Raw genomic sequence first — 22,082 nt, forward strand, 5'->3', positions numbered from 1 at the left:
ATATGGCACCACCTCACCAGGGGGCACCGAGGCAAGCAGGATTCCCAGAAGTCACAGACCCGAAGAGAGAAAAAGAACCAGTCCCTGGGCTTGACATGAGACAAAGGAGACCAGAATGGACACACGGCAGCCACTCTCCTATCAAGTTTTCCACATCACCTTCATCCCCTCATTTCAGCCATACCAACAACCCAGCAAGGCAGAGGCAGCAGGCCTCCCATTTGCCTTACAATGGAGGGACTAAGCCCAGAGAGGTGTGAGCACCTCACTAGCATCATCTAGCAGTGAGTAGGGTAGGCACAATGGTACCTGGCTCTGAATGCCTGGTCTAGGTTCTGTCCCTCACATGGCACTGGGTTAAGAGACATCCTGAGACATGCAGGGATACCCTTGGGAGTTTGGAGGAGCTTCAGGCACCATGCATAGCCAATAAATCAGAATAAACAACTAGTCAGGAAAATCAAATGCTTGGATTTTATTATTAAAATATTTTCAAAGCTGATGAAATTGGAAAATGACGAACCGAGACCTGACTCTATTGCTCATCCCCAAGTTAAGAGAGCCAGCTTTCAGCTCACCTGCTGGGCAACTTGACAGAAAGAATGCACACACACACACACACACACACACACACACTCACACACATACCTCCCCTCCTAGACCTTCCAAGCAGGGAGTCTCGCCCGAGTAACACATACCCTTTACTCGCATTCTTCCCTTGATTTATCAGGAGAGAATGGTCAGAACTTAACAGAAAAAAAAGGACCCAGGCTCTTGGGTTCTGAGAGGGGATGGGGTGAGGCTGTCTGTCATGATGACCTTGACCTTTTCCTTCCTGCACCTCCAGATTCCCTCTCCCCTTCTTTAAGAGTGGAGGAGGTGGTACCTAGGGGCCAGGACCCTCCATTTCAGTCTGTACAAACCACTAATTCCTTCTGTGCCCTTAGGCAAGTCACTCGCCCTGCCTGGTCAATAAAGTCTCCTTCTTTACTGAAAAATACATCAGCTTGCCTCATGTGGATGTCCTGAGACATAAATGACAGATGGGAAATGAGGGGCTTTGTAAGATTTAAAATGCTGTGTCCCTGAGAAGGATGTTGCACTGGTTTGGAGCCAGGATCTGATAAACAGGAGACAAATGAAACACTGGAATAAAAAAATACTTGTAACTTATATGAAAAAAATAAACGTATGTTATTAATATACAAAGAGCTCTAACCAATCAATAAGAAAAAATCCTGGGAAATTGATATGAACATAGGCAGATCAGAAATGAAGAAATTCAAGTGCTTATGAACATATTGGAGAATAATAATAGCTTACATTTACTTGGCCCTTATTTTGAGCCAGGAACTGTGCTGGCACTTTACATGAATGATGCCATTAAATCCTCCAATCCAATTAATAAGGTAAAGACCCATTACCATCCTCATTCTATAGATGAAGAAACTGAGGTCCAGGGAGGTTCAGCAACTTTCCCAGCATCACACAGCTTGAGAGTGCCAGAACAGGAATTCTCACTCACGCAGTCCGGCAGACCACAACCTCACTCACAGGGAACAGATTGCAAATCACAATAACTAGGAAGACATTGTTCCTTCACTTATCAAATTAGCCAAAATATTAAAGTTCGATTAACAATCAAATATTGGCGTGGGTATGAGAAAATATGCGTTTTCATGTATTATTGGTGCAATCTTTCTGGGGAGCAATTTGCCAATACCGGTAGATATTTTACATGTACCACTTGATGAAAAATTTATCCTACAGATATACTCACACCTGAACATAAAACTATACATACAAGGATATTTATTTTTATATGAGAAAAAGGAACTCTCATTCATTGCTAGTAGGAATACGAAATTGTACAGAGATAGTTTGGCAGTTTCTTATGAAGCTAAACATAGTCTTACAGCAATGTTGCCCTGCGTATTTAACCAACTGAAGTAAACATATGTCCACATCAAAACCTGCACATGAATATTTATAGTAGTTTTATTCATAATAGTCAAAACCTGAAAGCAACCAAGATGCCCTTTGGTAGATGAATAAATGGCAGTATGCCCAGACAACAGAACATTTTTCAGCACTAAAAAGAAATGAGTTCTCAAGCTATGAAAATACATGGAGGAAGCTTAAATCCATATTGCTAGGTGAAAGAAGCCTGTCTGAAAAGGCTACATGCTACATGAAGCCAACTCTGTGACATTCAGGAAAACTATAGAGACAGTAAAAAGATCAGTGGTTGCCAGGAGTCCTGGGGAAGGTAAGAGGGGTGAATGGACGGAGCACAGGGGATTTTTAGGTGGTCCAACTATTCTGTATGCTACTGGAGTGGGAGATACACCACATGGATTTTCAAAATCCAGAGAAGTGTCCAACACAAAGAGTAAACTTTAAACCATGAACTTTAGGAAACAGTAATGCATCAATATTGGTGCATTAATTGTAACAAATGTACCATGTTGTACACTATGCAAGCTCATAATAGGAGAAAGTGTATGAGAGTGAGAAAGTGTAGGGGAACTCTGTATTTTCTGCATACTTTTTCTCTTAATTAAATCTCATCTAAGAAATAAATCTATTAAGTTAAAAAAAATGTGAGGTGTAACATAAAGTCCAGAAAAAGAAGTCTGGTTTAATTTTAAAAGGCACTTGTATACTATGCCATACAATATGCCCAGGAAGAAAATAAAGAAAATATTGTTATATGTGGCAGTATTATCTACAAGACATATCTTAATTTTTTTTTTCTTTTTTTGGCAGAGTCTCGCTCTGTTGCCCAGGCTGGAGTGCAGCGGCACAATCTCAGCTCATTGCAACCACCACCTCCTGGGTTCAAGCGATTCTCCTGACTGTAGCTGGGATTACAGGCACCCGCCACCACGCCCAGCTAATTTTTGTATCTTTAGTAGCGACAGGATTTCACCATGTTGGCCTGGCTAGTCTGGAACTCTTGACCTCAGGTGATCCTCCCACCTCAGCCTCCCAAAGTGCTGGAATTACACGCATGAGCCACCATGCCTGGCCTATCTTAAAGAATTAATACAGAATAGTATCTAAGTGGGATCTCACTTGTATGGAATATTCAGAGGTCTGAGCTTGTGATTACCAAGGAAGTTTGTGGAAGGCCCATGGAAATTATTAACATCTTCAGTGGTAATCTGCGGGAATTCCAGACAAGGGCGAGGATCAGACCTTCAGTTTACACAGTATTTGAAATTCCTATCATGAATAAAACAAAAGGCCGAGGTCTGTACTGTTTTAAATTCTTATCATAAGTACGTATTACTTTCATTTTTGAAAAGACAAACAAAATGACCGCCCTGGAGTCACACAGACTGGAGTGTGAATTCCAGCAACTGAATTCCAGAGTTGAAATGCAGCAGCCATCGTGGGGCTAAGGACAGCCTTCACTACGCTCTAAAGATGGCACAGCACAAATATGGAAAGAACCTGAATCCATGTCCACACTGAGCCACACAGCCCACCCAGAAGCCAGTTACCTCCTAAATTCTTCAGTGGGAAGGTGAACATTCTATAATAATTGTTTAGCTAACTTTCAGTTCAAAATTAACTTACTTGTAGCTGAAAGTGTCCTAAGGAAGACAGCAGCTCAGAGAGGCCTTGTGCGCATGGAAGGAAAGAGGAATGGGTGTTCAAGATACAGCCACTTCCTTGACCCTCTCCCCAAGAAGAAGGGAAGCCCAGCCCTTTGCGGGTGTCATGGGGTAAAGCCCCAAACTGAGGTTCAGCCTGGGAGGCTACGTCGGTTCTTGGCTTCACCCAGGAAGGAATTCAAGAGCCAGCCAACAGAGTAAAGTGAAAGCAAGTTTATTAGGGTGGATCACTTGAGGCCAGGAGTTCAAGAGCTGCCTGGCCAACATGGTTAAACTCCATCTCTACTAAAAATACAAAAATTAGCCAGGCCTGGTGGTGCACACCTGTAGTCCTAGCTACTCGGGAGGCTGAGGCTGAGGCAGGAGAATCGCTTGAACCCAGAGGCTGAGGTTGCAGTGAGCGAGATTGTGCCACTTGCACTCCAGCCTGCAAGACTCCGTCTCAACAACAACAACAACAACAAAATGATGAAGGCAGACCAAAGGTTTGCACCACCATATTTGCACAGAGGCTCAGAGGCACAGCTTAGGGGGGAAAGAGAGGAAGTCCTCTTCATCCAGCCCCTCGTGAGGATGAGCTGCATCTGGAGTCGAAGAGGTAAGTGGGGCCTGTCTTCCATTCCTAAGGCCGTGGTGTCCCCTGCCTGAGCCCCACCCTTCCCACCTTCTCCATCTCTGTCCTTTCTGGAAGCTTCCGCCCTGCTGTCCAGGTTGGCCCGAGCGCCCGAAGATGAAGAAGGGTGGGGGATGCGCAGGGACGGTCCTGTCGGTGAGGGTGGGACTGTCCTCGGGGCCTTGGGAGCCCTCCCCCGCCCCGCCCCGCCCCGCCCCACGGCGACTCCTCCCTCCCGAATCCCCTCAGGCTCCGAGGGTCCCGGCTTGGAGCGAAATGCCCACCAGGAGGCGTCGGGTCCTGTCACGGGCCGCGCCGCCCAGGACCACGCCTGGCCCGGGACCCACGCCAGTCCGGGGACACACACCTAGCCGCAAACCAGACCGCGGGATCAGCCGCAAGCCACCCTCTCCAGCGCCGCCCTGCACCGCAGATCAGGGTAGGAGATTAGAGTAGGAACGCGGAGGGGTGGGGGAGGGGTGGGCGAGGGGTGGGGGAGGGGTGGGGTGGGCGGAGGGGCCTATCTGCTCCCAGTCCCTATGACACAGGGACTAAGAGTACCTAAAGCCCTGGGAGAGGAGGAGGAAAGGTCAGGCAGGGACTAGGCGCAAAATTTAAGGCAACACTAAGTGATTCGGTAACCAAGATAAATCATATTTTAATTATTTTAAAGCAGTGTTTTAAAATAAAAACTAATGAAAAAATGATAAAATATCAAAAATTTCAATAAAGCAGCATCCGACTTCCTGCCCAGCTGTCCTACGGTATCCCAGGTGCCAGCCCCCTGTGTCCACACCCCTGCTGGTTCCTGCCCCACCCCTTCCCCCAGCCCAGGAGGCTTCCACCCCTTCAAGAATTGAAATCTTCACAAGAAGCCCTTGCCCATCTCCCTGAATACCCCCAACTCTGAAGAGAAAAAAAATCAAACCAAAGAGTTTTCCTCAAGAGTTGCAGGCTGGGCTTACAAAAGCCACAAAGCTTGTGTACAAAATGACACCCTTGGCCACCATCTCCCAGTCTGTTGACTGCTAAAAATGAGAAGTGAACAGAGAGAAGGCCAGGCAGAAGGCTGCAGGGCAGGGGCCAGGTGGGCAGCAACAGGGAACAAATCTGAGTGGAGGGGAGAATTCTACCCCTCCCAGGGTTCCAGCCCCAACAGAGGCTCCCTGCTTGGGCCTTGCTCAGGCCTGGGAGGGTGATATGCTTTGGCTGTGTCCCCACCCAAAATCTCATCTTGAATTGTAATCCCTATAATCCCCATGTGACAAGGGAGAGATCAGGTGGAGGTGATGGAATCGTGGGGGCGGTTCCCCCATGCTGTTCTTGTGATAGTAAGTTCTCACGAGATCTGATGGTTTTATAAGTGTTTGGTAGTTCCTTCTGCATTCATTTTCCTTCCTGCTGCCTTGTGAAGAAGGTGCCTTGCTTCTCCTTCGCTGTCTGCCATGATTGTAAGTTTCCTGAGGCTTCCTGTAAGTTTCCTGAGGCTCCCCGGGCCACGTGGAACTGTGAGTCAATTAAACCTCTTTCCTTTATAAATTACCCAGTCTCAGGCAGTTCTTTATAGCAGCATGAAAATGGACTAATATGGAGGGGTCAAAGACAGAAATCTCCTCCTCCAGTCCCTAGCCTTGGCTCTTGGACACGAATCCAGTTCCTGACAGCAGAGAAGCATACAGGTGGGACAGTGCAGTGTGTCCCCACAGGGGCTCAGGCCACACCCCAACCCAATTACAAGCCATGCAAGAAGATTCTGAAAACATGGATGAGGAGATGGCCTGCCTAAAGCCAGCAGATGGGTGCCACCCACCTGATGTACCTCTCTAGCAGCCTAGCCAGCCAGCCACCAACAAGGGCCACCAAAAGTTAGGACTGATGGGGTGCCCTTCCAGCCCGACCAAAGTCCTTCCATTCACCCAGCAGGGCCACTGACAACTGATTTCTCATTCTGGGCAAAAGCAATGGAAACTTGGCACAGCAACCCCAGGGAGACCTCCCTCTGTAAGGAGATGCTCAGATGTTTTGGTTTGTGTCCAAAGAGGGGAAGGACAGGTGGAGAGAAAGGGCCTAGACCCATGTAAATCACAAATGCCAAGACCCAGACACAGCCACAGCTGGGGGCCTGGTGGGGGGAATGGCCAAGACCGCAAGAAGAGAGACTACTGTATGGAGCCAGAAGGCGAAGGCAAGTAAATCCTTGGCACAAAGCAGGAGGAGGCAGGAACAAGTACAATGGACAGTGGGGAGGCAGACAGGTTCTGAATAACCCAGAACAAAGAGAACATGAAACCACAAAAGAAGAACAGATTAAAGAGAAATGGGGGATGGGGATGACAGAGCACCCAGGGCAGCGGGTGCAGGACCAGCAGAGGTCCCCCGACTGTCCTTGGCTGTGTGCACACAGAGGTGCTGCAGTCCTGGGGCCATGTTCATAGGATGCAGAGAAAGCACACTCTGTCTTTTCTCAGGAAAGCTGCAGGGAAATGAAAAGCTCCAGGCAGGACAGACTGGGCGATGACTGCATGGCTAAAAGCGCACACCTTAAAACTAGACACACTCCCCTGCCCTGAGCCCCAGATGTCAATGGACATATTCCCACAATTTTCACATTCCCTCCCAATAAAGTAGGGCCATGAAAGATGAATTTTAGGATATCCACTTGGGGAGCTCGTATTTTGGGGCCAGACCTTCCTCCTTGCTGGGCTATCTCGGGCTTGGAGTGGGAGAAGCCAGGCAGGAGTCCTGGAGAGTGACCGCACAAGTGAGCAAAGGCGGCATTCACCCAACTCTTGGGACAAGGCAGTCAGACCCCACCACCCATCCCCAATCCTATGGGCCCACGTCACTTTGGTTTCGCTTGTTTTTTTTTTTAGTAAACATCAGCTTTCCTCAGGTGTTCTTCTGCTTTATTATTCCCGTGTAGCCACAGCAACAGAACTGGCCCCATGTCTCTCAATCAGGGAGGTCCCCAGCCAGCTTTGGAAAGACACCCATCAAAAAGAGTGAGCAAACCTAAAGAAGGGTTCAATAGGGAAGGTACCAGCGGCCGGCTGCAGAGGGGCTCCATTCCCCTGACCCTCAGTCACTTCCCAGAAACCACACAGAGGAGCCCGGGTGTGCCAGAAACAGCCTTTCATAATACAAGATGGACAGGAAAGAGGCCAAGGGCAGGCAGTTCCCAATCTCCACAAGGGCAAGAAGGTAGAGTCCATACTTCTTTCTTGTCTTTTTCTTTTTTTGAAACAGGGTCTGGCTCCGTCATCCAGGCTGGAGCACAGTGGCACTATCTCGGCTCACTGCAACCTCCACCTCCTGGGCTCAAGCCATCTTCCCACCTCAACCCCCTGAGTAGCTGAGGCTACAGATGCACACCACCATGCCCAGCTAATTTTTGTATTTTTTGTAGAGATGGGATTTCTCCATGCTGCCCAAGCTGGTTTCGAACTCCTGAGCTCAAGCAGTCAGCCCACCTCAGCCTCCCAAAGTGCTGGGATTACAGGCATGAGCCACTGTACCAGGCTGAGTCCACACTTCTAAGCTTGCTGTTGCTCTCAGACTTGCAGAACAACCTATTAAACAGAAGTAGGTAAAAGTTGAGAAAGGGAAGTGGCCACCACAGAACCAGTTCTGCTGAGAACGAGGACTCGAGTCAGGCTATGCTACCCTCCTTCCATGGCCATGGGAAAAAGGGGTGTGTGCTGTTGGTGTGAGAGATCTGGATCTTAACAGATCAGACTTAAACTAATTTGCCCATGATGACCGTGTGGATTTGGAGGGACCTGGGAATCTCACAGACCTATGGGATGTCCCAGTGATATGTCCTGGGCTTCATACCAGCCCTGCCCTGCCTGACAAGTTGGATGAAAACTGATAAAGGACTTGTCATAGCTTCAGATGGCAAAACCAGGCCAGGCCAGAATGAAAAAGGAGAAGGAATTTAACATGGGCAAATGCCAAGCTCTGCATTTAACTAACCAAGGCTGCTTGGCGTGAACAAAACTGAGACAGAGCAATGCATGGAGAAAAGGGTTGGGCATTTGTGGGCTACAAGCTTGGCATGACATGGATGCAAATGTCAATGGGTGCACCCCCAGATGCCTGTGACTCCCTCTGGTGGTTTCTGTGCACAACTTCCCCCAAAATAGGCCCTACGACTCCAGCAGAAACCTACCCTGGGGCTCCTAGAGCTTCCTAGCCTGCCTGCCAGAGAGCAGAAGTGCCTGGAGGCTACATCTTCACCCCTGGGTAGTCCTTACTCTGAGGTGGGACTGCATCCAGGGCTCCCCTTTAGGGTCTGACTTGGACTGAAATCACACCCTGCCTTGCCTTCTGCCCCTCCCTTAACTTGCTCTCCCCTCCCTAATAACTCCAGCATCCTCATCTCAGCAGAAGCTTCTGGGGAACCCAGCCCAAGATGAGTGGTGAGGGCTAGGGTAGCCCTCCTCAATGCACTCTGGGAACTACATTTTCAGAAGCCCCAGCCAGAGGGCCAAGTCCCAGGCAGGGTGCAAAGCTGTGGGGCGAGGAACCTGGAAAGAGGCTCTGAACAAGGGACTTTTAAGGAAGTGGGATGTGGGCTGTGATCACAGCCAAGCTGGCAGGGTAAGAGGTGGCCCCTGAATGTGGCTATGAGAGGGGTGCCCAACACTACCAGCCTGTGTGCTGAGCACTAACTCAGTGCCAGGCACTACTTGGGTTATTCTATTTAATCTCCACACCAAGCATGTGAAGGAGGCACCATTGTCATCCCCATCTTACAGATGAGGAAGATGATCAAGGCTTGTAACTTGCCCAAGATCACATGGCTATAGGTGTGGATCCTATATATCCAGATTCAAACTCCAGCTTTAGCCCACTAAGCTACGGTGGCCAACCCCAGCCCAAAGTGTTGGGACCTGCGTGTAGAAGACCCCTTCAGCCCTTGTAAAGTTAGGATCTAGCATGTCTAAGGGGACAGAGACCCAATCCAGGTGACACAGGAGGTAAGATCACAGTGGAACAGGCCATCCCTGCTTTTCCACCACCACCAGCACTGTGACCTCAGACCAGCTCTACTCTATGAGTTTCTTGTGACAGTGATGGCAGCCTGGGGCCAGACAAGGGATGCGTGTCTTGTGTCCTGGACACAAGACAGGCAGGCCCAGAGGGGACAAGCTATATGAAGAGAGGCTTCAGCTGTCGGGGGTCCTGAATGCCATGGAAGGAGAGCAGGTGGGCAGAAGCAGGGAGCCCCTGGAGCAGACAGAGGGGGGATTCCTGCTGAGGCAAGGGGCTCTAGGACTCCAGGGTTTATGCTCCAAAGAACAGAATTTACCAGGACAAAATAAACAAGACCAGTCAGGACCGATGCCCCATCCCTGCTGGGGTCTGGCAAAGCTCTCACCTCCAAATTTGTATCTGTTTTGAATTCAAAGCCAAACAAACACATCAACAGTGAACTCCAACACCTCCCAGAGCAGGGCCTGAAAGGGACCCAGAAAGTCTGGCCAGAAATCTAGAGTCCAAGGGGAGGAGATCTGTAAACTAAACCGCTGGCCATGCTCTGGGGCCCTAAACCACTGCAGGCATCAGGGCTGTTCCAGGAGAGGGCACAGCAAAGGGGGTTGGGAGGGGTCTCCAGTTCCAATCAGAAATGAGGCTGCAGTCACTTCAGGTAGACCTGTCAGCAGCAGCTGTGCAACTGGGCTAGGGAGACAAGGATCGTGGTTTAGCCAGGAGAATCATCTGGGGCCCCAGCCAAGACACAGGTGTTGGATTTCAGCACCGCTCTGCAAATACTCATCTCAGTGACGATGAGGTGAGTGGGAGCTTGGCTGAGCCCAGCCCGGCCTGCCATCCTGGCAAGCCAGGGCAGCATGGAGGTAGCACAGAGTGGCACCCAGCCAGCGTGAATGCATAAGAATCTGCACGTGACACAGAAGAAAGTCTCTTCATGAAGTAGGTTTCACTGGTCCCAGCCAAACCCTGTGGCAGGTGGCCCTTTCTGCACCTGCTGAACATGCCATTCACCTTGACCCAGGTAGTGGCCTCACCCTCCTCTTGCTCAAACTGGAAACCTCAGCATCCTGAAATGCCTCCTCCCCAAATCCATTGCACACATGTGTGCCTGTGTATGCGTGTGTGTGCACGTGTATGAACCCAGCCCCCAGCTGCCCACTCCATTGCCCCTAAACAGGCCCCTCCTTGGTGTCACCTGGCACATCTCCACTGGAAGCCAAATGGATATTTCTAAACTGAAATCTGGTCCCACCTCAGAACCCCTTCCACAGTTCCCTTAAAGTTCCTTTCCTCATTTACATCAGGATCTTCACAATGGGGACCCCTGGTCACCTCCCAACCCAACAAACGCTCCAAATGAGCCGCCACTGCAGAAACTCATTATGGCCCAGGCAGGACAGGCACATCCAAGTATCTGACCAGGCTGTTCCATCTGCCAGGCAGGTCCTGCCCTCTCTCCACCCACCTGTCTAACCCCTGCATCCTCAAGACCCTACTTAGCTATGGCCCTGTGTGAAAGGTCCCTCCCCATGCACCCACAGCCATTTGTTCTCTCTCATGTGGCCCTAACAGGCTGGGGTTCCTGGAGACTCCATGGGGAGCCAGGCATGAAGATGGCATATACCCATGTGTCACTCCCCAGAACGTGAGCTGCCTGCCCTGGCACCATACACAAAGGGACTGACAGCCCCAGAATCCCAAGGGGTGCACCTATGCATATGGGAAAGGCATGTTTACGGGTGAGAATGGTCCATCGTTGGGCTTCAGGAGGCATCTGACCTGACGCACGCCTTTGTCACTTTGTCCTTGTGGCCTGTTGAAATGCCACTCCTGCTTTACAAATTCACCAACTGTTGCATGAGTCATTTCCACCTCAATGAGTACCAGGTCCTTGAGGATGGGGAAAAGTAAGCCACCACTGTGGGGGTCCTGGGCTCCTAGGTGCAGAAGAGGCTCCAGAAACAGGCCAGGTCGTGGGCCATGACCCCACACTAGCCCTCTGGTCCCTCACACGGGTGGATTGGGGGGCTGTGTCACGGGATCTTAGGATCTTCAAGACAAAGACCCAGGACAAGAACACAAGCCCACTCCCATTCTTCACAGGCCTCGAGAAATCTTTGGGCAATGAAGTCAGACTGTGCCAAAGCCCATGTTTCTGTCTCTCCAAGGCCCCTGGCCCCCACTGCCTAGCCTAGGTCAGGTCATGTGGGCAAGCGAGCCCCCACAGCCTCACAGCCCCTACCCCAGGGCCAGGGCAAACTCCTGCCCTGTCCCCCTCCATTCCTGCCCTCCCTCCTTCCACAAACTGCACCAGCTGGGGAGAAATCCTTCAGCCGACAGAATGAGGTGAAAATAGTGCAATTTTAGGCTTTGTAACTGAGATTAGGGCAGGTGGCCACCCATTCTCCCCTTCCTCAGGCCAGCCTCTGACACAATGACCCTGGAAGCCTGGCAGCCCTCCGTAATGGTCAGCATCCTCCCCTGCCATCCCCAACCCACACCATGAGCTCAGCCAGGGCAGGGGCAGCCTCTGTCTCATTCACCACAGAATCCACAGAACCCAGCACAGAGTATGAGCTCAGTAAATTCTCCTCATACATGACTGCACTGACTGGACCGGGCACATGCTACAGGGCAACACCCACGGCTCAGCTGGCCCTGGCTTTGGATCTCAGTCCCACCTCTTCAAGCTGTCCAGCGTGGGGCACATCGGCTACAGCCTTGCCAAATGAAGGCTTGCCAGGATGAAGAGGTGAAGACAGGACAAGCACAGTATGTGGCACACAGGAGGCCTCTGATAACATCAGTCCCCTTCCCTAAAGACCTGGGCAGTCCCTGTCACTGGGGCCTCACATTTCATGTCGAGAATTCACTATTTCTCAGCACTGATTTCAAATAAAGCCACCAAGAGTCTGACGAGGCAACATGGCAGAGTTCTGAGGGTGGAGTGAACAAAAGGTCATTTTTTACAGAAAACTCAGGATCTCCCCTCTGCACAGTGCTAAAGCCCTGTCTCAAAGTTCAGAGCCCGGAAGGTGCAGAGATGTGGCCCTTGGAAATCAAGCCCTTAAGAAAACAGCCCAGCTGTGTAGGGCCGGAAGCCCCAGGCTGCAGTCCTGTGGTCTGGAGGCAGCCAATATTCAGGTGAGAGATGTGCCCAGCTGCCGGTGGGTCCAGGGGGCACGGAGCCCCCACCGTCCCTGGCCCAGGTCTAGGACTAAGTCAGTGGGCCCAGGCCAGCTCCAAGGGCCACAGCTCCTCACTCGGGGGCCGCGCCGGAGCAGCCGCAGCAGCTGGGGCGCCGCAGGGACTGCATGACAGCCCGCAGTGGCCCCCTCCGGCCCTCCACAGACAGGCTGTCCTCGCTGGCGGGCGCCCGCTGCAGCTGCTCAAACTGCATCTCCAGGTGCTTCTGGATGGCCACACCGAGCACCTCCAGGTCCACCGCAGCTCCGTACACCTCCCATGTCATGCCCTCAGCATCCCATCGCACATCCCGCACAGGGGACGGCACCTCCTCCAGGCTGGACCCCAGAGTTACCTCTGGGAACACATGCAGGGCTGCAGGCGCTTCCAGGGACGGACTGGTGGCCACAGCCTTGCAGGCCGCCACTGGGGCCGCCTGCACACCAGCATCCTGGGCTGACAGCGGGGATGCCTCTGCAGGGGCCAAGTCATTGGCTGAGGTCATGGTCCACACATCTTTGGTCCTAGAGCCAGGCTCTGGGACTAACCCAGCGGGACCCCAAAGGTGGGCACAGCAATGGGAATGCCCAGGGAGCCCCCCAGACAACCTACAGTGGATCTTCACCCCATGCTGAGCCTGCAGCCCAGACTCGCTCACTGACGCCACTAGTTTGGGAAAGGCCAGGATCCCTGTGGCAGGTAGGGCATGGCAGCAGCCACCAGCCCTCACCTCCCTCATGCCACAGAGTAGAGCAGCTGGGGGCAGAGCATGGCAGGTGGTGGTAGCCAGCTGTTCAGCAGCTTTGGGCTCAGCCTGGGCACTGCTGCTGTGGGCAGTTGTGTCCCCCAGGTCTAGTGGTGGCACTGACAACTGACTCGCCCCCAGCATCCAGGCTGAGTTAGAAGTCTCATCCTCAGGAGCCAGGTCCCTTTCCAGGCCTGCAGGGGCCTGGCCACCCTGGCCAGAAGTACCACCTGGCTGCAGCTGAGCCCTGTGGACAGGGCTGCTGCCAAGGGCTGAGCAGCTGAGACTGGCCTTCCGAGCACCACTGTGTCCCCGCATCTGGGTGCTACGGACCAGGTCTGAATGGCTCCTCTGCATAGCAGCAGCACTAGGGGCCCGCAGGCGACACAGGTCACTGCCGCCCATGGTGGACACATTGCCCACAGTGCTGCTCCACCAGTGGCCTCCAGCACTGGGTCGCGCCTTGGGGCCAGAGGCCCGTGCTGGCTTCATGCTCTCAGGCGGGTTCCCCTCTTCCTCCGGGGCCTGGGGTCTGGTGCTGGCCTCGCCCAGCTGGGCCTGCCACACGGTGCTGCTGGCAGTCTTGCGGAGCTCTGGCCTCTGTTCCCGGCCTTCACCCAGCAGGCTGGAAGAGCTCTGGGACAGGGGCTGAAGGCGGGGGCTCAGGGGTGCCCAGGGACCCGGCTCGGGGCGGCTGGAGCTCATGGCTGCCTGCAGAAGAGAGAAAGGGAGGGAGTGGAGTTGAGTTGGGTGGCAGCACCTAAGCCGATTCTACTATGAACTCCCACAGTGCTAGGTTCACCAGGGAGCCACCTTCAGTCCCAGCCTGCCTGACTGGTCAGAACCATATGCAAGGCAGTGAGTGACAAGACACCAGACACTTCAAATCAAGGTCATCTCACATTAGACACAAGGATGACACTGCAAATTATCTCATCATCAGTCTCAAGCAGTTAGAATCTGCCCTAGGGTGGGGTCCTGGAGGCCGCCACTCTATCAGCTCTCAACTCTTTACTGGCTGGTTTGTGTGGGAGGGGAAGGGAGAGAGCCAAATCTGCTGGGGCTTTGGGGGTGAAACTGCAGCCCTAGGGGGTGGGGCTGTGGGATAACAGCTCTTGGTCAACCAGCACGGAAGCACTATGGCCTCTTAACGGGCACAGCTGGACAGGCCAATACTGGGCTACTTCCTCCTGGGACTGGCAGTATCCAACTCACTGTGGACAGGGTCTCCTTGGTACAGAGTGGGAGCTCAGAGAAAGTTCACAGGACGAGGGAGCAATGACCAGAGGACACTGAGAATCACCCTGGGCTTCCACAACCACCCCCATCCTCCTTGGCCTAGCCTTGCTGAGCTGGCATGTCTCTGGGGTTCCCTGACTCCTACCTCTAGCTCCAGGGGCAAGGAGAGGCCCCATGCATCAGCTTTTTCCATGAGGGACTCATTCAGCATCTGGTCATTGATTCCACAGCATCTCCTGAGCCCCTACTGCGTGCCCAGCTGTAGGGCTAGGGAACATGGGATTCATTCAGACCTTTCTGTACCCCTGGGGACGGTGCAGCAGTGAGATAAGATGCCCACCCAGTACCATCAATCAGACCTATCCTGCCTGACATTTAATCCCCTCTTGCCCAGTGTACCTGCATCCTCATTGTCCCCCACCCTCCGTACCATCGCTGTCACTTCCCCCAGCCATAAAGACCACCCTGGACCTGGCAGCTGCAGCCTAGAGCCAGTTCTGGCCCTTTCCACTTCTGCATCTCTTCCTGGGGCCCCTTTCCCGACCCTCCAGCCAGGCAGCCTTCATCCCTGACTGAGCATTGGGCCTGCATGGAACAGTTTGGCCAACTGTCAGCCTCCCCACAGGCCTGAAGTTGGCAAAGCCTGGCCTGTGGCCTGCTCCCCTCTGGCTGTCCAACACCCAGCACTGACCTGATGTGTCGTCGGCACTCAGAGGATTATCTGCTGTGTGCCTGACCAAGAGAACAAGCAAATACAAGAACACACCCACAGAGGAGGGCACTGAGTGCCAAAAATGGGGTCTGAGGGAGGGCACCACCAAGGCAGGAGAGCTCACGGAGGGTGAGAGATGAGAAAAGGCTTCCTGGAGGACCAGCCACGTAAGTCAGGCCTGGAGTGAGAGAAGCAAGAAGGTGTTCAGGTGGAGAGCGGAGTGGGCAGGAGGAAAGAGGCCATGTGTCCAGAGCATATGAGGGGAGCAGTGGGGTCAAAGTGTCTGGGCCACCTCGGCCCTGGCCACAGCAGTGAATTAGGGAGATCACTCTGGGACTCCTTGCCAGGCAGGAGAGGTGGGAGAAACAGGGTGGGGACAGGAGGCAGCAGCTGCATTTGGGCAATCCCAGCCCTGCCCTCCCAGCCTAGGCTGATAAAGACTTCCAGGCAACAACCTCCCCGACCAGGTGAGCAAGGCTACCCGAGAGGAAATTCGGGAAGGGCTGTGGGACTCGGTTTCTGTGTAATTACAAATGTCCTGGCAGCCCAGCACTCAGGAGATGGCTGGTGGCTGCTGAGCCACAGTGAGGATGATACTGGTGCTGTAGTCCCTGAGACTCCAGCTCTGCACAACTTCCTGCGATGATGGAAAGATTCTACCCTGTGCTGTCCAATAGGTAGGCACCAATGGCATGTGGGTACCAAGCACTCAGCAGGGGGCTACTGCAACTGAGACACTGAATGTTTAAGTTTTATTTGAATCTAACTGGCCACATGAGGCTAATGGCTACCGTACAGGACTGTGCAGCTCTGAACACAGCCCCGGCCTGGTAAGGATGTCCCATCCCAGCTGCTTCACGGGGCTGAAGCCAGACTTGTCCCTGGGAGGATCAGGAAGAGGAGGAGTAGCCAAGAGAGAAATCTGACCCAGACCCTGCCCTCAATGAGCTCTAAGATGGACATACAAACAAAGGAGGGCAATAAAGCCCGTAACAGCGATGATAATAACAGCTGCCAGGGCCTGATCACTCGCCAAGGGCCAGACACGTGCCACATCCTTTGCATACATTGTCTCATATAACTGTGCAAGCAACCTCTTGAGACAGTCATTATCTCCATTCTACAGACAGGAGAATTCCATAAGCTCAGAGAGGCTCAGTGACCCCCAAGGGCACACACCTGTGGGGCAGCTGAGCTCCTCTCCCCTTCGAGCACTGAGCAGGCCTATGCCTCGCAGCTCTCACCCTTTTTACTGATCTGGCCTGGCCCTGCCAATCGTGCTCATGACATGCCATGGAACAAGTCACTGAGTGGATCTCCACCTGCCCAACATGCTTCTTAGCAGCTCCTGAGGCTGCAAGAATGAGGAGGGCAGGAGGTGTTCCTCCTGACTGGGACAGCTGTGGTCACTGCCAGCCCCTGGCAGGGAGACAACCACTCAGTTGCAGGTCCAAGACCCCAGGGAGGCCCCATCTGGACATCCACACAGCCTCTGGCCAAACCCCACCACCCTCCCAGGGAGGGGGGCCATAAACAGCCAGGCCAGCAGCCTCTGGCCCCTGAGGAGACAGGTGGAATGAGGTCCTCAGACCCCCACCAAGACCCACTGAGAAGCCATGAGCAATGAGCATCCCACTGTGCCTGTCTCACCAGAGGGCTGCCCAGCACCCAGGGCTAGTCATCACCCAGAGACCCCCGTGTGGGCTATGTATCTATTGGTTCCCTTCCCCATTCCCCCTCCACAAGTGGCAGGTGACAAAACTGAGGCCTGGAGCAGCTCAGAAATGTCAAAGAACACACAGCTGAAAGTGGCTAATTCAGAACCCCAATGGATTGGCCTGGCTAACTACAACCTGGCCTTCCCAGCTCAGAAGGAAGGAAGGGCTCTGAGGGGAGTACTGGGGGAAAGAGGCTTCCACACTGCCTGTCACAGTGCTGTGGACTGGGCCAGAGGAGGGGCCTCCCAGGGAGCCAGGGGTGAGGAGGAAGGGGCAGGGCTCTGCTTCCAATGGGGGCTCTTCCCCTTCCTGTGCATGTACTCACAGGTGGACCCCTAACTTCTTTGAGCCTCAGTTTCTTCAATCTGCAAAACAGAAATAAATCCCCACCCTGCAGGGTTGTTGTGAAGACCAAATGTGACAGCATGTGCACTGTCTGCAATAGTGTTTGTTAACAATAATCTTCTCTTTCCCCTCCCATCAAGAGCAGCTTAAGTTCATGGTATAACAAGTATTAGTACTGGGGGCCAGAGAGGCCCTTTTCAGAAGCCATCAAGACACCCCAAAGGTTAGCCTCCTCTAGCTTCCCATCCTCGCTACCTTCATCCCATCCTAGGACCAGGTCACCATCAGTGTCCCCAGTCTCCCTATCACCAAACTAGGTTTCCCAGAGCCTATTTTAAATGTTAACCTAGGAGGCTACGCATGCATACAAGTCTAGAGTCTGCACTTTAAATGCCCAGAATGGCACACCCACCCTGCCTTTATAACAACACAGAAGGTTCTGGTTTTGCCCTAAAGGGACCCTCGGAAGATCTTTTAGGACAAGATAAAGAACAGGCATACAGAAGTATCCAAGACCTCTAGTATTCTTTGAACGATACCTTAATGTTCTCTCTCCTGCCCCATTTGATGCCGAAGTTGCTATGGTTGTGGCCGATGTCCCGTGGCCAATGCCAGGCTGTCCTGCTGCCTCAGGTTCCACCTGTCAGCAACTGGAAGATCAACCACCTATGTAGCAATCAACCAATGTCATTTTGAGTAAAAGCCCCCAGTTCTCAGACACTTCCAGACTAGCCCAAACATAGAGACCTTTGAGTCAACGTACAGAGTCCAGCTCCCGCCATGCTGCCACAGCAGAGGAGCCCAGGCCTTTGGGATATGCCCAGGGGACTACCAAGACCACCACAAGTGGGCTCCATCTCAGACAACACTGTGGCATCCATCTAAGTCCCCTCTTGGTTTTGTTCGTTCGTTTGTTTGTGAGACAGAGTCTCGCTCTGTCTCCCAGGCTCGAGTACAATGGCTCAGTCTCGGCTCACTGCAACCTCTGCCTCCTGGGTTCACGTGATTCTCTTGTCTTAGTCTCCCGGCAGCTGGGATTACAGGCGTGCACCTCGGCGCCCAGCTAATTTTTGTATTTTTAGTAGAGATGGGGTTTTCGCCATGTTGGCCAGGCTGGTCTCGAACTCCTGACCTTAGGTGATCCACCTGCCTCGGCCTCCCAAAGTGCTGGGATTACAGGCATGAGCCACAGCGCCTGGCCCAAGTCCCCTCTAGTTAAGTGGCAAGCATTTGGATGATGACTTATGTGTCCGGCAAAACCAAAACAGGAAAAGCAAACCTATATGATCAGGCAGGAAAACTGGTTCTATGTTAAAATATGGACCTTACCTCTCAAGGACCAGGCAGGAATGCACACAGCACAAACCCCCATTGCACAGTGGGGATACAGCACCCTCCAGGAGGTGGTTTAATCCACCCCAGAGTGAACGGGGCCTGATAGGAACACTCAGGGCCAACTCTGGGCAAAGCAGCAGGCAGCATTCCTAAAGGGAGGGTTTGGAGGAGACAAAACCTGCCCTTCACAATGAACGTGCCTTAAGGGCTACATGCCCCGGGTCACAAGCTGTGCCAGGAAAGGGTTCTGGGGTAACTGTGGGGTCAGTGGCCCCATGGATGAGGCTCTGCTCACCAGGAAGAGGCCTAGGCGCCCAACAGCCCCTGAGCTTCCTCCCCTGGGGAGGATTTGCCCACAATCCCTGGGGGGCACCTAGGTGGAGAGGGTGCCCCGGCCTAGAAGCAGCCTAGGCGGCCGGTGTGTCCCTATCTGCACGCTCACAAGCACTCATGCCCCAGCCTGGGACACACAGGCCCGTATGCAGTAACAGCGTCTACCCAGCTGCACTCTGCACGCCAAGCACAGGCCGCCCCTGCTGCGGGGCCAAAGGCCTGAAAGCACCGCACCACGCAGCCTCGCCCAGAATAGCTCCCCTCCCGCCCCTCCTGCACAAAGCCCACCCGGACTTAGGGAGAAGGGGGCTCAATACGGGCCCGAAACGAGGCTACAGACCTTCTCAGGAGCAAAGGCAGCGACTGCAGGCAAATGGGGCTGTGGGCCGGGGTAATGATGCGGGACAGGAGAAGCCAAAGGGCAGCAAGGCTGGGGGCGGGGTAGGCGGCGCAGTAGGCTGAGGGAGGGGAAAAGGAAGAAGGGGAGAGGGAGGAGCGATGGCAGCAGGGGTGGAGGCCGAAGGAGACAGGGTCCCGGACAGACTTGTGAAAATGGGAGGATGGGCAGAGGAGACGTAGAAGAGGGGACAGGACAGGACAATGAGAGGCGGAGCGCGGGGAGTGCGATGCGGCCACCGGGGGCTCTGGGCGCTGGGCAGGGGCCAGGATGCCGGGGGTCTGAGCGCAGGCAGCGGGAAGGAGTGGGTTCTGAGGCTCAGCAAGGGGGAGGTGCCGCCCACCACGCCCCCCGCCCCAACGGGAGCGCGCGGAGCCAGCCTCTCACCCTCTCGCCCGCCGGGGCCGCGCAGGCGGGGGAAGCGCTGCTCCTGCGGCCGCCACAGGTGCCAGGTGCCGCGGCCCAAGATGGAGCCAGAGCCGACCTGGCCTGGGCGCGAGACGCCGCCCGCCGCCGTCGGCCCGGCCCGCGGAGCAAGCGCCGGGTACAGGGAGGGGCCAGCGGGGCAGCTGGCACCGGGGCGGCGGGAGGGGCGGCGGGCGGAGACCTCGCTCACCTGGGCCCGTGCCACTCTGGAGCCTGCCACCGCCCCGCCGCGGCCCGGGATCTGCGTCCGCGCGCCCCCACCCCTCCTTCCCGACCCCTCCTCAGGCCGGGTCCCCACTGTCCTCGGTCTTTTCGGCCCCGCCCGCACCACGACCGCCTGTTCTCCAGGCTGCCCAGCGAACCCCCAAGACTCCCACTTCCCCGACGCAACCCCACCGTCCCGGGTGTATAGGCGCAGCTCCCCACGATTCTCCGGCCCCAGACCCAGCCCCTCAAGTCCACCTCCTCGTAGCCCCACCCCCTCGCTCCAGTGCCCCTCGCTCCAGTTCCCCCTCCGCACCACGCCCCGCATTGAGGTCTCCGCGCCGGCGGCTACCCCTTTCCTCTCGCCTTCTCCATCCTAGCTCCGCCTCTCACAATTCTCTGGCTCCAGATCCCGCCCACGAGACCCCGTTTCCTATAGGGCCCTTTCGTCTGGGATACCAGGCCTGGTCTCCACTAGCCTCGGACTTTCCAGCCCCAGGTCCCAAATCCTGGACCCACCGTCCCATCCTCTGAGCTCCACTCTCATGGACCCCAAACCTCACTCCAGTCCTTTGAACTCCATGATCCTGGCCTGGCCTGGCCCCCGGAGCCCTCCATTGCCCCTCAAGAGCCCAGCCTGGTAGACTCCTTCCCTAGGGTTGCATCTCCAGCCCCGCCCCTGAAGACTGGTAATCTACCACCCCTTTCCCTGCCCACGTGCCCCTACCCAGCCCGACTTGAGGCCTTCAGTCTCCCAGCCGCGGACCCCAACAGCGGGCGAGGGCAGTGACCGTGCGGGGATGAGCCACCTCCACTGGAGCCCGCCTTCTTCTCCGCAATTCCCCGCAGCACCACAGCGCCTTCCCGGTCCCGTGACGCCGGGGGCCAGCCCAGGCCCTGGGATCGCCAGGTTCCACACTATGAGGCTGAGGACCTGGGCCTACGGTTCCCTCAATATCCCCCAGTTTCCACAACCGCTGGCCAGCTTCAGGGCGCAGGACAGGCAGCCCCGGCCTCCCGCCACTCGCAATAGATTCCTGCTGTCCACCCAGGGCCACGTGGTATGAGGCACCTGTACTATCTCTGGGCCCCAGTATCACATAATTGGGTCCCAATGTTGGCACTTCTCCGTTGTCCCCTGTGCCGGGACCCCCAACTTGTTGGCCCAGCCCTGTGCTGAGAGGCCTGCGTTCCTCCCTTCCAGTGCCCAGGAGCCAACAGTATCTCTAATTCTCCCCGTTTGGGTAGCAAAGGACCTCAGTCTGCCCAGAGAGACTCAGACTGCCCCAGGTAGCCCTCTCCAGCGAGGTCTGAGAGCAGCTCTCAGATTCTGGCAGATGGCTGCCTTTGGCCAAATGCCCACAGGGGTGTCGACGTCAGACCCCAGGCTTGGGCCTCACCATCACACACTGCCTGGTAGGGGGATCCTGCTTAAAGGAGGCAAATAGGGGATTTGTTTGCCGAGGCCACTACCCACTTCTGCCCCTGTCCAGGAATTAGGACCTCTGCTTCCACATCTTAGGCATCTTACTCATATTCCCTCTTTAGTGAAGTCAGCTGAGCCCCAAGAAGGGATGGACTGCTTGTGGTTACACTGAGAGTTGGTGCCAGATCCAGGCCCCAAACCTGGGGCTCTCAGCTCCCAGGACATCTCAAGAACCAAGAACCTCACTGTGTGTTTCAAGGAAGCCTTCTTGGGGCTGGGTGTCAGGAGATGTCTGCCATGCAATCTACCTGTGAACACAGCTGGCTGGCCCTCACCCCAGGGCATCACTCCTTGTCCAACTGGCCCCCTTCTTCCATTCATGCCCTGGCAAGGAGGCTCCCCTGGCTGTGGCAGCTGTCCAGGGAGAACCCAGCATGGGGAGTCACACTTAAATTCCAATCTCAACTCCCCCACATATTCACTGGCTGTGCAACCCCACACCCAAGCAAAACTGTTCATCTCTCTGGGCATCAGTTTCCTCATCTGCAGAGTGGTAGTAATTATACCTACCTAACAGGGCTGGGGGAAGAGGGTGTTTGTGAACGTGTCCCGTGGAGTGTTATCGCTGCTATCAGTCACTTGATCAAATATTTACTGAGCTCCTCCTGGGTCAGGTCCTGGAGGTACAAGCTGCACTGCATGGGGGAAGGAAGGGATGGATATGTGTAGATTGCTTTGGTAGAGAGCAGCTCAGGCCTGAGGACCACATGGGCCAACTACCA

At 54.4% G+C, this 22,082-nt stretch overlaps 1 protein-coding gene and 1 long non-coding RNA gene across 38 annotated transcripts, besides 3 other annotated features; one reads left to right on the forward strand and one right to left on the reverse strand.

Moving 5' to 3' along the window:
• Positions 1-402: 402 nt before the first annotated feature.
• On the forward strand, positions 403-5,778 carry LOC124902419 (uncharacterized). Its single transcript, XR_007062138.1, has 2 exons — positions 403-4,221; positions 4,486-5,778. It is a non-coding gene; the product is annotated as an uncharacterized LOC124902419 (long non-coding RNA).
• Positions 4,057-4,687: an enhancer, noted in NCBI's record as "H3K27ac-H3K4me1 hESC enhancer chr10:47008064-47008694 (GRCh37/hg19 assembly coordinates)". NCBI's record gives its function as "activates a minimal SCP1, AML or CMV promoter by ChIP-STARR-seq in primed H9 embryonic stem cells {active_cell/tissue: H9 hESC(primed)}" and the evidence as "EXISTENCE:reporter gene assay evidence [ECO:0000049][PMID:30033119]".
• GPRIN2 (G protein regulated inducer of neurite outgrowth 2) lies at positions 4,870-20,730 on the reverse strand. Of its 37 annotated transcripts, none has more exons than NM_001385298.1 (6): positions 20,227-20,267; positions 18,509-18,663; positions 17,719-17,829; positions 15,096-15,294; positions 14,550-14,709; positions 4,870-13,876 (listed from the first exon to the last, which is right to left on the reverse strand). In NM_001385298.1, the coding sequence occupies exons 5-6, from the start codon at positions 14,613-14,615 to the stop codon at positions 12,494-12,496; spliced, it is 1,449 nt and encodes a 482-aa protein (NP_001372227.1). In that variant the 5' UTR covers positions 14,616-14,709; positions 15,096-15,294; positions 17,719-17,829; positions 18,509-18,663; positions 20,227-20,267; the 3' UTR covers positions 4,870-12,493. The 37 variants fall into 37 exon arrangements, with proteins under 37 accessions (NP_001372227.1, NP_001372226.1, NP_001372228.1 ...); NM_001385297.1 differs by having other exon boundaries at positions 14,550-14,671; positions 15,171-15,294; positions 20,191-20,267; NM_001385299.1 differs by having other exon boundaries at positions 20,191-20,267.
• Positions 19,123-19,828: an enhancer, noted in NCBI's record as "H3K4me1 hESC enhancer chr10:46992923-46993628 (GRCh37/hg19 assembly coordinates)". NCBI's record gives its function as "activates a minimal SCP1, AML or CMV promoter by ChIP-STARR-seq in primed H9 embryonic stem cells {active_cell/tissue: H9 hESC(primed)}" and the evidence as "EXISTENCE:reporter gene assay evidence [ECO:0000049][PMID:30033119]".
• Positions 20,534-21,239: an enhancer, noted in NCBI's record as "H3K27ac-H3K4me1 hESC enhancer chr10:46991512-46992217 (GRCh37/hg19 assembly coordinates)". NCBI's record gives its function as "activates a minimal SCP1, AML or CMV promoter by ChIP-STARR-seq in primed H9 embryonic stem cells {active_cell/tissue: H9 hESC(primed)}" and the evidence as "EXISTENCE:reporter gene assay evidence [ECO:0000049][PMID:30033119]".

The sequence above is a fragment of the Homo sapiens genome, chromosome 10, assembly GCF_000001405.40.
Source record: "Homo sapiens chromosome 10, GRCh38.p14 Primary Assembly".
NCBI lineage: Eukaryota > Metazoa > Chordata > Mammalia > Primates > Hominidae > Homo > Homo sapiens.

What these genes read in the sequence shown, in the direction of transcription:
- GPRIN2 (NM_001385287.1), bottom strand. Translation starts at nt 14,615, where the DNA reads ATGCTGAATGAGTCCCTCATGGAAAAAGCTGATGCATGGGGCCTCTCC. An exon ending in CCTTGCCCCTGGAGCTAGAG is followed by an intron (nt 13,877 to 14,549) that starts GTAGGAGTCAGG and finishes TCTCTTCTGCAG; the next exon opens with GCAGCCATGAGCTCCAGCCG.